Below are 17,281 nucleotides of genomic sequence, written 5' to 3'. Positions count from 1 at the left end.
TTTTGTTTTTCTTTTATCCCCAACAATTGACAGGCATGATTTTTGAGGGTTTGTTTTTGTTTTTGTTTTTGTTTTGAGATGGAGTCTCGCTCTGTTGTCCAGGCTGGAGTGCAATGGCACGATCTCGGCTCGGCTCACTGCAACCTCTGCCTCCCAGGTTCAAGCGATTCTCCTGCCTCAGCCTCCGAGTAGCTGGGACTACAGGTGCATGCCACCATGCCCAGCTAATTTTTTGTTTTGTTTTGTTTTGTTTTGTTTTGTTTTGTTTTGTTTTAGTAGAGACGGGTTTTCATGGTGTTAGCCAGGATAGTCTCAAACTCCTGACCTCATGATCCTCCCATCTTGGCCTCCCAAAGTGCTGGTATTACAGGCACGCCATCGCACTTGGCCAGTTTTGGAGTTTTAACCACTTCTTGTTAACAAGGAGAAATACAGACTGAAAGAAATTTATGTAGACAGGGATCAACCGAGAGAAAATATAAAGTATGGAAAAGGTGGTAGTCTCCATCCCTCTTTTCTCTTTGTAATCTCTCCTTAGGGCTATTCGCACACCCTCCCACCCCCTGCCCCATACACACACGTTTATAATTTGTTTTCCCTCTCTCAGAAAAAATAAACTCACCCTTCTTCCAATTTTTCAGAAATTTATTCTGGCTTATGAGATCATTTATATTAGTAAATGTATTAATAAGTGAATTTAAACCAACGAGTATTCTATCAAGCTTCAGCTGTGGGCCAGGTACAGAACTCCTGTTAATTTGCAAACTTGCTAATGTGTCACAGATCTCAATTAACATGATTCTCTGTGCTTTAAATATAAGAAAGCTTATATAAAGCCGTGTTGCTCAAACATGTACATGAAGAATAGGTACATAAGGAAGTCCATGTGTACACGATACAGGGAAAACACAACATACCTTGTTAAAAGAAATATGTGATGAGCAAGTATATTATGAAGAAGAGTGTAAACATTGTACATATTTTAAAGATGAAATTGCAAACAAAAGTTTTGAAAAATTTGCAGATTTCTTTTTTTTTTTTTTGACATGGAGTTCCACTTTTTTTTTTTTTTTTTTTTTTTTGAGACGGAGTCTCACTCTTGTTGCCCAGGCTGGAGTGCAATGGCGCAATCTCGGCTCACTGCAACCTCCGCCTCCTGGGTTCAAGAGGTTCTCCTGCCTCACCCTCCCGAGTAGCTGGGATTACAGGCATGCGCCACCACAGCCGGCCAATTTTGTATTTTTAGTAGAGACAGGGTTTCTCCATGTTGGTCAGGCTGGTCTCGGACTCCTGACCTCAGGTGATCTGCCCGCCTCGGCCACCGAAAGTGTTGGGATTACAGGCGTGAGCCACCATGCCCGGCCGAGTTTCACTCTTGTTGCCCAGGCTGGAGGGCAGTGGCGTGATCTTGGCTTACTGCAATCTCCACCTCCTGGTTCAAGCTATTCTCCTGCCTCAGCCTCCCAAGTAGCTGGGTTTACAGGCACCCGCCACCACACCCAGCTAATTTTTTGTATTTTTAGTAGAGACGGGGTTTCACCATGTTGGCTAGGCTGATCTTGCACTCCTGACCTCAGGTGATCCACCCTCCTCGGCCTCCCAAAGTGTTGGGATTACAGGTGTGAGCCACCGCACCTGGCCCAAAAATTTGCAGATTTCTAGAAAATGTTAACCTCCTTAAAGCCAGCTTTTGATGTTTCCTAGTTCTTGATGGGCTCACATTCCTTGGCCACTAGAAGGGCATAGGTGGTAAAATGTGCTTCTCATATTTTAGGTAGACTGAGGCACAATGGGGGAAGACAGTCGCAATGCTGGTCAAACCAGGCCCCTCCAGAAAAAAGTCAAGAGCCTAACATGTGCCTGACACCCTGCTGAAAGCGTTTAGATTTCTGGGCTGGTTACATGCTCAAAAAGAACACATGGAGTTGATAGTGACTTTTTTTTTTTTTTTTTTTTTTAGAGGGAGTCTCACTCTGTTGCCCAGGCTGGGAGTGCAGTGGCGCAAACTCAGCTCATTGCAATCTCTGCCTCACGGGTTCAAGCAATTCTCCTGCCTCAGCCTCCCGAGTAGCTGGGACTATAGGCGCCCACCACGACACCCAGCTAATTTTTTATCTTTTTAGTAGAGACAGGGTTTCATCATATTGGCCAGGCTGGTCTCGAACTCCTGACCTTGTGATCCTCCCGCCTCGGCCTTCCAAAGTGCTGGGATTATAGGCATGAGCCAACTCGCCCGGCCCGATAGTGACATTTTAATGACAGTTTACAGATGAGGAAAATGGGCACGGAAAAGCTAAGAAACTTGTTCACAGCCCCATGGTAAAAGGCAGAGCCAAGATTCAAATCCCAGTCTATTCAACCACAATCCTTATACATCCTACCCAGGATTTGAGTTCACTACTCCTGCTCATGGAGCAGACTCAGCTCCATGCTCCTTTGCCCCAGGAGGCACAGTGGCCTGGTCCACAGCTGCATGAAAGTGGCACCATGATTGGTCAGAACCAGACCCAGCTTCCTTTCTTGAGTTCCTATTCTGAGGAGAAAAATCATAGCTCTATTTTGAAAACACTTACTCATTATCCTAACTAGACTCCCAGGCTTAGAATGAGTAGACAAAAGTTGGCCTCTTCCAACGTAACTAAACCAAGGACCCCAGCCTCCCTTGGCTCTCCCCACTCTCCCCTCCAGCACCCACCTCTGGTCTCCAAGGCAGCATGTCTTGGATTAAGGAGTGAGCTGCCACTGTTGTGCATGGTATGTCACATGACTCACTGATTTGGAGAATGGCTGAGGCTAAACGCTTTCTCTCTGTTTCTCTATCTATCTTCTTAATGATGTGGGAGCAAAGAGATTCTTTATGAGAAGGGAACGAGTTGCCCATTATACAGAGTTAAATACATTCAAGAAAACACTGGCGGGGCGAAGTGGCTTGTACCTGTAATCCCAGCACTTGGGAGGTCGAGGCAGGAGGATCTTGTGGCCAGGAGTTCAAGACCAGCCTGAGCAACAATGTGAGACCCCATCTCTACAAAAAAACACAAAAATTAGCCAGGCATGGTGGCACACACCTGTAATCCCAGTTACTCAGGAGGCTGAGGCAGGAGAGTCGCTTGAACCTGGGAGGCAGAGGTTGCAGTGAGCTGAGATTGTACCATTGCACTCCAGCGTGGGCGACAAGAGCGACGCTATGTCTCAAAAATAAATAAATAAACAGATATATCTATAAATTTATAGTTCCCAAAGTGCCTAATAATTCTAAAGTTCATTTAAAAAATAAGTTTTAAAGTTTGTAAGTGTCTGATTCAGTATTAAAATCTATTCTAACGATGTCTGAATTAATGAAAGGGTTTCTCTGTAGTATTCTGATTTAGTAAACTAAAAAAAACTTTATAAACTTTAAAATTTATTTCTTCTAATGAACTTTAGAACTTTTGGGCACTTTAGGAACTATAAATTTATAAATATATCTATCTATCTATCTGTTTATTTATTTATTTTTGAGACAGAATGTCGCTCTTGTCACCCAGGCTGGAGTGCAATGGCACAACCTTGGCTCACTGCAATCTCCGCCTCTCAGGTCCAAGCGATTCTCTTGCCTCAGCCTCCTGAGCAGCTGGGATTACAGGTGTGCACCATCGTGCCTGGATTATTTTTGTATTTTCAGTAGAGATGGGGTTTTGCCATGTTGGCCAGGCTGGTCTCGAACTCCTGACCTCAGGTGATCCACCCACTTCGGACTCCCAAAGTGCTGGGATTACAGGCATGAGCCACCACGCCCAGACTTCATTTATTTTTATTTTGAGGTAGGCCAATAATACTGGTGCACCCAAGGACTTAAAATGTCTTTCCAATCCATTATTTTGATGGTCTTCAACCTTGTACTTTCCAAAATTCTGATATCATTTTTATTAGGGGTTAGTTTTAAAAGCATACACTGGCCTCGTGTTATCATAGGACATGGAGTTTCACAGTCTGTCCAGTTGCCTGAAATACCAAGAGGTCACCAAAACAGATACCAGCTAGGATCTCTTGACATATGGAGGCTGCCACCCGTCTAATCATGAATGCCTTTAGCTACTGCTGCAGGTAGTAATTAACAAAGAGTATGATATTTTCAGTCTCCTAGCTGTGTTTTTCCTGTCTTAGGGCATATAAATTCAGGTTTATATGTTCTGGTATCAGGGATATGTGGATGGGGCAAAGAAAGTCAATCCTGAAACACTGAAGAATGTTTACTATCACTTAGCAAATGGGTCATTACAGACATATAGATGTAGAGATGTATGTAGAGATAATGTGTTCTCACATTTGCTATATTATTTTATGGTCAATTTAAAATGAATGAATTTTCAAATGATTTTGTCAAAGCAGTCATATGATAAAATTACTTCCTATGATAAAATTACTTCCTATATTAGTAAACATCTTAATTATTAAACACATAGTGCTTGGAACATCCAATATTTTATTACTAATCATTTGTGTTTTACTTAACATGAATATTTAAACTAATCTTATTTTAGATTCCTTATCTGTTCTCTGAATAAATTGTATGGCATGTAGTGGAATACAAACTCTAATAATAATACACTGTATTTTTTTTTTCAGAAATGTCATTTTCATTTGAATATGGTGTTTTAAAATACGTCCTGTAGTAGATCACACATTCTGGAATTTTTCATATGTTTAGACCCTTCCCCCATACCATATTGAATTGATAGATGTGGTATCACAACAGAAGAGTTTTACAACCTTGACATTTGAGAATCACTGACTCAAACGGATGAGTGTATAAAATTAACATTTGTAACCTCACTTTTACCTCGTGTCGGAAAACCAAAAGGAACTAGTCCTCCTTATGTTGTTTGAAATATTTGAAAATGCCTTTTTGGCCCTGTGCTTGTCAAGAATTGCTTCTAAAGCATGAATGTTTTTCTTTCTCTTGTGCAGAATCCTAATGCTCATCCAAGACCCACCTCCCAGGATTTGGCGGGGTTTTGGGACATGCTGCAGTTGTCCATAGAAAATATTAGTATGAAATTTGATGAACTTCATCAGTTAAAGGCCAATAATTGGAAACAGATGGATCCTCTTGACAAGAAGGTAGAACAATGTAGATTTTGTATGGTTCATTTAAAAACCTGCACAAACACTGGACAGTCTAAATAGGCTTCTGCATTCAGTCCTGCTGTTTACAATGTGAAATGGAGCTGATATCATATTAATTTCATTGTAATGACAATGTTTACATAGTAATCATTTGGGATATTATCTGTAATATGTTTCAGGCATATTTTTAAAGAAAAACCTGTCTTTGTGAATTGGAAAATGGGAATGTGGCTTTTTTTGTTAATTAAACTTTAAGTTAAACCATTTTAGTCACTGGAAGGAACTGCCTCCATTTTGCTTTTTAAACTAAAATAAATGACATCTTCAGTGCATGAATCCATAGAACAAGAGTTCAACTTCCTTACACCCCTAGGATGTGTTTTCAAGAAAAATAGGATGCCCTGAAAAATAACTGACTTTGATAATCATTTCATAAATATAGTAATAAAGAAATTACTGTTGTTCAAGTCTAAAAATATATACCATAAAGTTTCACAGTAATTACATAAATGTTGGGTTTTTTTTTTTTTTTTTTTTCAAAACAGTTTTGCTTTTGGTTGATTTGCCTTGGGGAATATTGCTCACTGGGGTCCTCATGCATCAGTTTAGAAATAAAGACTTAAATTCTTTTACTTTAATTAATCAACTCTAATTTTCACATTTGATTATGGTGTTCCACGAGGCTCACACGGGTATCCAATGTCCAGCTCCCCAGGCTGGCATGTCAAACGTGACTTTTTTAACCCTTTGCTTTCCTATGGCCTCAGGTCAAATAATTCCAAGAGAATCAACCTCTGAAAATTGGAATGGCTGTTCCCTTGAAATGCTGGTGGCCCTGTTCTTTTCAGGTCCCCTCACCTACCAGAAAGCTAACAGCAATCTAATCCATTCTGCTACCGCATATCATGTTTTCAGGGTTCTTGGGGTCAATGGTCTCCCAGGAAAAATCCAGTCCCAAGGGACCATCTGTAAGTGACAGGAGGGTGATGCTCTCATCACTGTCCCCCGTTTCCAATTCTGTCACCATCAAAATGGGGGTCGTAGTGTTAAGTTGGAAAGTACTGTTGATGTACATGTGGCCTCTCACTTGGGAAGCCAAACATTTGTACCCAATCTAGTTTTCTTTAATCTGTGTTTAAAACTATCTGCTAGATAAGCTTTAAATCAGTCTTATTTTAAGAAAACACTACAAATGCACACATACTGGTAATTTAGTTTCCAGAGCTGATGCATCTAATTTTTTTTTTTTTTTTTTAAATAATCATTGTTGGCTGGGCATGGTGGCTCATGTCTGTAATCCCAGCACTTTGGGAGGCTGAGGCGGGTGGATCACTTGAGTCCAGGAGTTCAAAACCAGCCTGGGCAACAATATGGTGAAACGCCGTCTCTACAAAAAGTACAAAAATTAGCTGGGCGTGGTGGTACACACTTGTAGTGCCAGCTACTTGGGAGGCTGAGGTGGGAGGATTGCTTGAACTCGGAGAGTTTGAGTCTGCAGTGAGCCGTGGTTGCGCCACTGCACTCCAGCCTGGGTGACAGAGCGAGAGCTTGTCTCAATAATAATAATAATAGTAATCATTGTTTAAAAAATCCAAATGTATAAGGAAAGGAAAATGACTAAAAAATATCCAATATTCATATTTCTAAAAATATCCACTGAGTTATTCCACAATGAAGATTTAAAATGTCTAAAAGAAGAGATGCTAAGAATTGATATATGTAACCTATTGATATTTACATAGTAAATCATTAGTTAGCTTGATTTTTACGGTTTTTAATGGACTTTGCCTGTGATCAGAGCTTTTCATCACCCCATGAACCTGAGGAGAAAAATGAACAAGCACAATCAGAGTTGGGAGAATATAGTTTGCACTCCAGGCTCTCCTTTTTTCTCTTTTAAGCCACACAGACTCCACCTTAGACAGCCGGTGGGGTAGCTCCAGGGTGAGAAGTTGAACTAGGCACTTGCTCTGGCAAGCAGGGAGGAATTGCTGTGCTGAGCATTGGTGTTAAGATACAAAGAGTACTCTTTGGAGAATCACCGAAACTATATTTTAAGATAATGTTCACGCTTCATTTTATGAGAATGGAGGGTATTTTATTTAAAATGAAAACATCAGTTTTATGTGCACCCTTTCACAGTCTACAACTTCAACCTTCTTTGCCTAAAAATCCTTTGTGGTCTAGACGCCATTCTTTCCTGCTGCATTTTTTTTAATGCCAAAGAGATGACTGTCTTTTGTTTTTGCAGTGGCATTGAAAATATCCGCCCATTTCATAGTTTGCTGCTGATAAGAGGAATGACCTCTTTCATCCTGTGTCAACTTTTCATGGCACAGTTTCTGCCCCTGTGATTGGAATTGCTTCCTGGGCCACCACAGTTATCCCGAGGCCCCTAGTCAGAGTCACCTTGGAACTGACTTAATTAACTCTCGAGTGTAGGAAATATCAATGGCCTCCCTCTCCCGTGACCCTGTATATTGTATATTGCTTGTGTGTTCGTGTGTGGTGTGCAAAAGGGTCTAACCTGGTGTAGCACCAACAAAGCTAAAGAACACAATCTGATATCTCTTCTTCCTCCTCTGTTTATTTAGGTTTGGTGGGAAGGGGACGGTGGGCGGGCCGGGGACAGAGCGGAGATGTTTTTAAGCTCTGAACCAAGCTTGCACCCGGTGACTTGCATCCTTAGAGGGGATGCAGGGGTTCTAAGATGCTGCTGCAGCCGCTGCTTCCTGGCCCATCTCTGGCACCAGGAGGAGTCTGGAGTCTCCAGAGAGAACCGCACTCAATGTGCTGGGAGCCGCAGGCTTTCCGCAGGGGGCCTTTAAAATACCCACTTCCTTCCCTTGGAGAGACCTAGTTCTGCAACCCAGCCTTACCCTGGGCCTTAAGCTTACCGGGATTTTTTTTTTTCTGCATCTTTTGAATGCCCAAGCCAGAATAATGAAGAAAAAAGTAGATATGCAGTGTGCAGATCAGAACTAACCACCCCTAGGTAAAAAACTGTGTGTTCTAACTACTGACCTATCCCAGTTTTTCCCAAGCTTGTCCTGAGAAGCTGTGTAATGTCCTGAACCTTCTGCTTTGATCAGGAGAGAAGGGCCCCTCCTCCAGTGCCAAAGAAGCCGGCGAAGGGCCCCGCGCCGCTGATCCGGGAGCGCTCGCTGGAGAGCTCGCAGCGCCAGGAGGCCCGCAAGCGCCTGATGGCCGCCAAGCGCGCCGCGTCCGTCCGCCAGAACTCGGCCACCGAGAGCGCCGAGAGCATCGAGATCTACATCCCCGAGGCGCAGACCCGGCTCTGAGCGCCCCGCAGCCCGGCCGCCGCCGCCAAGCATCTGTCCCCTCCTCCCCCGGCCGCTCCTCTGCCGGCTGCCTCTCCCCCTCCGAGCCCGTCCGCTCCCGAGCTCGGTGACTTCCACTGTCGCGGTGTAGTTGTCCACCTCGCAGGAGCCGCCCCCCGGGCCCCCCTCAGCCCCCCACTTCCCGTACCCGTTTGCCCATCTCCTTCTTCACCGAGCTTCGCCCCCTGTCCTGATGCCGTCGCCCTGCCTCATACTGAGATCCAACCCTTTATTTTCTGGGCAAAGCCAAACCCACCTGTGTAGAAGTGATGCCTTTAGGTCACCCGCCGTCCTCAGTTCTCTCGAGCTAGTCTGTTCAGCAATATAAAACCATAGGGTATTTCAGAAATCCAGTATCACAGGGTGATCCTTTGGGACTTACCGTCTTCCACGTGAAAGAAACTAGGCCTCCGATTCCCTTTATTTCCCCTAAATGGTTATTCTTTTAAAAAAGCAGATGGAGCACTTTATTCCCAACCTCAGAAATCACACCATCTCACTGGAATCCATGAGGGACACAGAGAGAGGGGACCAAGCCTGGCCTGGGGGTGGGGGACCTGGATGTGTAGCAAGGATGGGAGAAGCGAAATCTGCAGGTGCTGGGGGCACCTGCACACTCACAGCTGCACAAACTGCCTCACTGTTACTTCATCAATCACAGCTTCAAATGTCTCAATCAGCAGAAGATTGTAAATTCGATCTTTCAGGGAAATTAATCTATTCTGAAAGGCAATAACATGAAGCAAGGCAAAGGAGGCACTGATGGTTTAGTATACTACATAAGGGATTTTTTTGTTCTATTATTAAGAAAATCTAGACCTGAAATGTTTTCTCAACTCTTATTGTACTGTGTATATTTATATTGTTGTCGTGGCGGCTGTTTTTAAAGGGAAAGTGTTGGTTCTATTAATTTGTTAAGTGTCCATCCAGGTGGGCCTACCTGATTCCACATATATAAGTACATATCTGCTTATAAAGCGCTGTAAATGGCAGCAAGGCTGTTTTTGGAGAAGAGTTTGGGTTTTCCTACCATCCCTTTGAATGCTACACATCCGTCTATTTTAACCCAAGTAGTTCGTATTTCAGATATATTTTCTCCTTTCATCTCCTCTCACTACTGCAGAGTCCAGTAATACCTAGCATAGGATTCTGTCCTGTGTCAAATGGCTAAAATAAATTTTTGCCCCAATAGACATGCTGCCTCATTCAAAAGAGCTGCCGCTGTCATCTTGAGGTTCCAGGTAGTGAGAGAAGAAACTCGACCTGCCAGGGTCAACAGCCATGAAGAGGTGGGGGGAGTCATGATTCATAAACACTGAAAGAAGTCAAGGCTTTTGGCAGAGAGTGTTGATTTAGATTTTTAGTCTTGATTGATGGGCAGTATGCATCGGTGTCTAGCTGAAGTTGTCTTTAAATGCCCTTACTCGTCACAGTTTAAACACTTAGGATGTGGCAATCTTAAGTATCAATGGCATTTTATGTCCAGCTAACATCCTAAAGCATTAGAAATTAAAAACGAAAGACTTTTAAAAACATACATCAAACATGCTTGCACCAGAGAAGCTTTTTAAAATAATACACTCTCATAGCCAGGTGCTAATTTAATTTTACTTATGAAATTAAGAGAGGTGATGGGTTCTAGCAACAGATATTTTCACGGACATATTCTAAAACCACTAGAGAATTCGCTACCTCTCAGAGCCATCGATGCTTTGAGCTACCTTTATAAACAGGGCACAAATGTTTACTGCTGTGGTTTACAAGAAAAGGGCTACTCACTTATTTTGAAACCAACGAACCAACTTTTAACTAGGGTGAACAAAGCACTCAAAGTGCTTTGTGAAATTGGAGCATACAGAGATTTTGAGCTTCAAGTATTTGCTAGTTTTAAAAAGAATACACCTTTTCTTTACCTTGTAGCAGCAATTAAAAGTCACACAAAGCTTGCATCGAGTAGGGCCAACTGCCACTTGGGTAGCCTATGGTCACATTCAATACTGAGAATGACTTGGAACTCACAGATTAATATGAAAGAAGCAGCGTTCATCCCAAGACCCATGCTCACAATTACAGCTCCGTGCCCTGAGGTAGAGTTGAGATTTGGATTAAGAAATAGATTTCTAATACGACTCAAGATCATCCTACAATATTTTCTTTGGAAACTAATTTAGCCCATGATATTTTAAAGAGAGACAAGAGAAGGCCTATTTATCTTGTCTAAGTGAACGGCATTTGTATATTCATAAGCTATTTTTGGTAAGAATTTTAAATCTTTTAGCTCAAGGCCTACAGGGCATCATGATCTTTGCCTTCCTTGAAAATACAATTTAAATTGTACAAACACTTTATAAAAAGCTAATTATTGGTGTTAGAACATGACCCCACACAATGCTGCTTGACCCCTGAAACTGACATTCATGAGCATAACCTTTGTTACATTGTTCTTTTTGATGTAATTTGTAGAAATGTTTTTTAGTTCGTAATGGAAAATGTATGTACCCTGAAAAATTACTTATTTTGTTTAACTTTGGTATAAAGGTGTTGGGCATTTTCTTGGGGAGGGGGGGATTACAAAAGAAGTTTGTCTCCCACATCAAAAAACGTTCAAAGAAATTAAGTATTTATTATATTTTTTGCAGATGTTTCCATACAATTCACATAACCTTTTTGTAAAGAGAGATGAAGAAATGGATTAAAGATTTTTAATATTTGAAATGGTAAATAGAACTAATTTATTGTAATATATTTCTGTTATTTATAGATGTTTCCTTAATGTTTTACTGTGCATTACCACTTTCATTTAAGCCTTATCCTTGTGAATTTACCATTTCTTTTTTAAAACATGTCTAGATGCATATTTTAAATAACTGGAATGTAAATCACTAGCATATCTGAATTCCCAAATGTAATTTTTAAAAATTATTTTGGTTTGGAAAAAAAAGATTCATTTGAAAGCCTTCAGATGGAGGGGTGGGAACATTTTTATGGCTTTATGAATTGGAATTTCATAGGCTTATTTACCTAGATTGTGTGTGAACAAAAAAATATTGTAAATAGATGAATGTTTCCCATAATGTAAAAAGAAGAAATTAATAAAATAATTAATGCACTGCTTTCAGGTCTGTGTGTTTTTACTAGAGTCCCACTTCTTCCAAAATATGCTTTATTGTCTTTTGACGGGAATACTTCTGCAATTAAGAAGCGTATCATTCTAACTTTCACTGTACAGCACGTGTGCTATTCGTTGTTGATGACGTAGGGAGAACTTACATCCTGTTTAAAGGGGTTTCAATACCGAAGAACTAAAAAGTCCTTTTACTCTGATAATCCCACTCGTGAAGTTTCAGTTCAGAAGCTGAGAATAACTGTCTATCTTATGAAGGAGTGATGAGCCTTTCAAATGTGCAAATTCATGTCAGTTTTACCTACTTTGATTTCTTTGCATACATTTCATCCACTTTGTTTCCTACACAACTCTCAAGTGTAGGGAAAATCAGAAAAATGCTTTGTGGCTTCCATTCCATCCTTGCAATAATGAAAAACTGTGCCTCACTGAGGTTTAGTGACTTGCCCAATGTGCCACAATGATTAAAAGACAGATCTGAGTCCAGAACCCAAGGCTTTATTGAGCTCCTTTAGTGCCGTCTCTGTCATTCTTGCCACATTTAAAATTGGTAATTATTTGCCATTGTCAATTTTATCTGGTTTTCATTTAGGTCATATTTGTAAACCTTACTTTATATAAAAAAATACAAATTTGGCCAGGCGCAGTGGCTCACGCCTGTAATCCCAGCACTTTGGGAGGCCGAGGTGGGTGAATCACCTGAGGTCAAAAATTTGAGACCAGCCCGGCCAACATGGTGAAACCGCGCCTCCACTAAAAATACAAAAATTAGCCAGGCATGGTGGCACATGCCTGTAATCCCAGCTACTCGGGAGGCTGAGTGAGGCAGGAGAAACGCTTGAACCCAAGAGGTGGAGGCTGCAGTGAGCTGGGATCGCACCACTGTACTCCAACCTGGGTGACAGAACGAGACTCTGTCTCAAAAAAAAAAAATACAAATTGACCCCCAAAAAGGGTAAATTAGAATTTTTTATGATGTGGACTTGCACTTATTTGTTGCCTGAAAATGCCACAACTCTAAAATTTGTTTCCACAGTGCTTTGTCCTAATCCCCACCAACTTTTCACCGACATGCAACAACCTTGGAAATTAGTAAGCACAGGAGCCACTTTTTCTGATTTTTGTACATAAGCAAGACCTATGCCAGTCACCAGAATAACACACTGTACTTTTGAAACTGCTTTGAAAGAGGAATGATCAGGTGACTGAATCTCTGTGAGGTTACAAAGGCCTCATCGCTTTGGTTCGTGCACTGACTATTCATGTAGTCTGAACCGTGATTACACTTTTTGCCTTTTCACAAATTAGTTCATCTGTTTCATCGGGGCTCTTTAAACATTTTAGCTAATCCCATAACAAAATGAGTCAGCTTTTGCATGTAGAAATCTGAATTTCAGTGAAGCCATTTCCCATATCACAGAGTCTACTCTCCAAAAAAAAAAAAAGTGTAATTTAGGTTTTATATAGAAATTGAACAAAATTGTTTGTTCCGAAAATGACTTTTCTTTTTATATCTTTGAAATCCACCCCTTGAGAATATAAACTGATTTTGCTTTAAATAAATGACATCTTAAAAATCAAAGCGTCTGAATGTGTTCATTCTCGAATGCCATTGATACTAAAGGGTGCTGAAATTTACCTTGGGTTTGCTCAATAGGTTGTTTGACTTGCAGCTGCTAAGCCAAGATCGAATCAACTCATTTTGCAAACAAACTAGTGGCCCTGTCTGAAAACCCTCTCTCAGCTCTAATTCAATTACCAGCGCAAGTTTACTTACAGTGACTGTAAGTCACTCATCCTCTCCCATAAAGCATAGAGATGGGAAATAGCGTGCTACCCCCTAGTCGTATGCTGTCCTCTGGGTTTGCTGCTGGTCCAGGAAGGCGTCATCAGAAAATCACAGGAATGTGAAGCTCCAGTGTGATTCCTGATTCCTGTGTCTCGACTTAGACAGCCAAGGGATTATTCCAATAGGTCTTCTTTGTAAATGAGCACAGGCCTCAACTTAGAGAAAATGGCTGAGAGCAAGCAAACATTTTCATAAATGCCAGCTCAAGCTCTACCACGCAGCTGATTGAACTGTTGCTATTCATGGGGCAGAATATTTTCACTAGTGCTGATTATGATTGCCACGTTCCCTCTTCACACTTCTTGTCTGTCTTCTTGAAGAAGTAGGTGCTAATTTCATCTGGAAACTTGATCGATAAATTAGTGTTATTAGCAAGCTTCTTTTGAGATCTCAATGAAGAGGTTCTTCAGTTGAAAAACTCTTCCTTTCACTTTGGAAAAGGGGAAGTCGGAGCAAATAGAGCCTGCGTTTTCTCTTCTGTTACTGAGGGGGAAAATGCATTCTTCCTGTTGACTCTACAAGGAGATTATAAGCAACAATTTCAGATTTCTGTAGTCTTAAATCCAGATGCTTTTACTGCTTGTGAGGACCAATGCTCTACAAATAAAAACCATTCCAGCATAGCTACCCTTCAGAGATTTGCATATATAGTTGTCAGTTGATGAACACTTCCTTCTTTCTCTGAGCAATTTCAATTATGAAAAGTAAGCAGGAACATTTAAGGAGCTGGAAGATACAATAGTTGTCCCCATAAGGTATTGTCGAAGAAACATCTCCCCAGGTTTCAATAAAAATATTCTACTCTGTGTGTGTGTGTGTGTGTGTGTGTGTGTGTGTGTGTGTCTTAGGGAATAAACACTTGCTATATGAAAATGTGTACTGCTATATGTGACATTTTTTAAAAATACCAGATTTGTCACACCATTTCCTTTCTAGAATAAAATCTAATATGCTTTATAACCTCAGCCAATATGATGTTTGTCTGTAATTCCCAAGTGAGAGAAGAAGCAAATTTCACAGACAGAACTTGAGCAAAAGTGAAAAGGGGATAGTTTAAATCATTTACCCTTAGATTCCTTTCCTGTTTGGTTTAATTTAACATATTTCTTGAGAAGCCCCTCCTCCTCAACATGCTCCTGGAAAAAAGTCCTGCTTCCTTTACTGAGGAGGGGTTTAACTTTTCTCTTCTCTGCAGCCTGGCCGCTGGCCGGAGCAATACCTGGGAGGTCTTGGTGAGCCTGGCACTTCCAACATTGAGTTTGGCAAACATGAAAACAACTCAAGGGCTCCTGAACTTTTCCTCAACATTAGTCAAGCAAGGAAATGAGTCTGGAATGACTGAAGAGGGATCCTTTCCAAGGAGCTGGTGCCTGTGTGTCTAGTTTTGAGTTAATGCACCAGGGATACCTTGACCAGCAGGTTGTTCAAAATGAAATCCAGGGCATCTTGCAGAGAGAGTGAAAACTGATCAATAGTTTGGAACATTGGAACAGTGGAGAGGGGTTGGCACAGGAAAATGGGGATTTCCAAAATGAATTCAAGTGAGGGTTAATCACTTCGTCAATAATGGTGATGTGGGGAATGATTATTTAGATAATTCTGGGTAATTCTGCAGACAAAGAAAGAAAGAAAGGAAAACACTCTACCAGGGAGGACCTAAGATGTTTTGGCATCAGCCTATTCAAGGACCATCAGTGGCTAAACTCATCATGTTCTCAAGGGCACTTCATTTGAAGATAGAGTGAGGCCAATGACCAACTATTCTTCTAGCAAAGACAACACATTAGAATTGAGTTAAATATTCAACTGAGAGAATTTGGGTTAAATATTAAAGAAATGCTTACCTAAAAGAAAATACCAGGTCTCAACAGCCATGAGAAACTCAATATACCTCCTGAGATAAGTCCTTCTGACAGAACCATGTCACCGGGAGGAGCCTCATTAAGAGGGCAGGTCTTCCATGCCTATTAAGTATTTGTCTGTTGGATGGTAGATGCATAAAAGACAGGGTTCCCTACTCCATGATCCCTGTTGGCTTCAGCCCAAAGTAGTGATTCCCCAGTAACTCCAGAGTCACAAAGACAGGGGGGAAAGTCCTCACATACTCCACTAGACACACCCAGGTGTCATTTTGATTATCACATTCTGGCTTGGTGTCAGATGGGAAAGCATTTCCATGAGCTTATAAGTTGGTTACAAATATTTCCAGCATTTCTCTTGAAAGCTTGACCCACTCTCTCACCAGCCTTAACATTTTGCCCAGCAGGTTCAAGGCCATTCTGTAAGTGGGTAAGAGCCTAGATTTGAAGCCAGACCACCTGGTTTGATCCCAGCTCTACCCTTTACCAGCTGTGTATTTTTGGCAAGTTAGTTCATCTCTCTGTGCCTCATTTCCCCCATTTGTACAATTAGGATGAAAATAGTACCCATTTCATAGGGTTTTTATAAGAATTAAATGAATTAATCTATGTAAAACTGTTAAAACAACCCAGGTACATGGTCAGCACTAAATAAATGTTAAATGTCATTATTATTATTATTATTATTATTACTATACATTTGTGCCCTGGCTGGACTGTTTCATGTGTATTCTGTAGCTCAATCCTTATGGTAACCCTGTGCTATGAGGTGGTCACTGCAAGTGAATTACAGAGCTCTTAGGGAGGCTCCCAAGGTTCCTGGCAAGTGACAGAGCTAGTATTTGAATTCAGTCTGACACCAGATCTTTTGTTCATACATGTGTGATACATGCAAGACAAAGCCATTTATTTGTTGTGTTCTTTTTGCTGATAAAAAGTACACATGAAAGTTTTAAAGACAACAAAAGGGTAGACAATGACAGGAGAGCCACTTTACACTCTAGTTGTTTGCTGTGATACTGAACATATTTGAACAGCTTATTGTATGTACACCCTGTATGTTTATTGTATGTATATCCTTCTACATTTATCTATGAATATGCAAATATGTATATAATTTTTTCCCACAAAATGGTAGCATGCTATACACATTCCCTTTACTGTTTGCCTTTTCTATTTTGTAATGTATTCTTCCATTGCAGAAAACTGTGATCTACCTTTTCTCTTTGATGGCTTCATATGTTTCCATGTTATGAATGAGCCATAAAACATTATCTGGTCCATCTATTGATAGACATTTAGGCTGTTTCTGTTGCTTGCTATGATAAAAAAAAATCTGCAGTGAAAATCGTTTTACAATATATTTTCAGTACATGTGGAAGTGCATTTATAGGTTCTTTTCATAGACAAATAGATATGCATTTTTGTTTTTAAATATTATCAAATGGCTTTCCAAAACGGCTGCATTGATTTCCACTTCACCAAACATGGATAAGTTTTAGCACCTACCTTTGCAAACAATGAAACAAAGCATTCAGAAAGTGAATTCGAAGAGATGCTAAAAAAAAAAAAAAAAAAAAGAAAAAGAAAAAGAAAAGAAAAAAAAAAGCTGGGCACGGTGGTTGTAATCCCAGCACTTTGGGAGGCCGAGGTGGGCGGATCACGAGGTCAGGAGATCAAGACCATCCTGGCTAACACGGTGAAACCCCATCTCTATTAAAAATACCAAAAAAAAAAAAAAAATTGCCGGACGTGGTGGCAGGCGTCTGTAGTCCCAGCTACAGACTGAGGCTGAGGCAGGAGAATGGCATGAACCCGGGAGGCGGAGCTTGCAGTGAGCTGAGATCGTGCCACTGCACTCCAGCCTAGGTGACAGAGCGAGACTCTGTCTCAAGAAAAAAAAACCAGAAAAAAAAAATCAAGAATCTTCCAATCTTCCAGTTGGGTTTCAATGAGGCTTGGGGGGTGTATCTCTAGAAATGTGTAGGGAGGTGGTTTT

General features: G+C 41.0%; 1 protein-coding gene across 33 annotated transcripts in view; it reads left to right on the top strand.

Moving 5' to 3' along the window:
- The window catches only part of DLGAP1 (DLG associated protein 1), a 959,276-nt gene extending 947,712 nt beyond the window's left edge, over positions 1-11,564 (top strand). For 19 of the 33 annotated variants that reach the window (NM_001398527.1, NM_001398526.1, NM_004746.4 and 16 more), the window contains 2 exons: positions 4,951-5,103; positions 8,202-11,564. In NM_001398527.1, coding sequence (NP_001385456.1) covers positions 4,951-5,103; positions 8,202-8,411 — 363 coding nt within the window. In that variant the 3' untranslated portion in view covers positions 8,412-11,564. Of the gene's footprint in view, positions 1-4,950; positions 5,446-8,201 lie in introns of those variants that run through there. The other 14 variants (NM_001398528.1, NM_001242761.2, NM_001398542.1 and 11 more) reach the window with 1 other exon arrangement.
- Positions 11,565-17,281: the final 5,717 nt, after the last annotated feature.

Source organism: Homo sapiens, chromosome 18 (genome assembly GCF_000001405.40).
Source record: "Homo sapiens chromosome 18, GRCh38.p14 Primary Assembly".
NCBI lineage: Eukaryota > Metazoa > Chordata > Mammalia > Primates > Hominidae > Homo > Homo sapiens.
The sequence above is the reverse complement of the archived record's forward strand: the minus strand, read 5'-3'. Positions and strand labels throughout refer to the sequence as shown.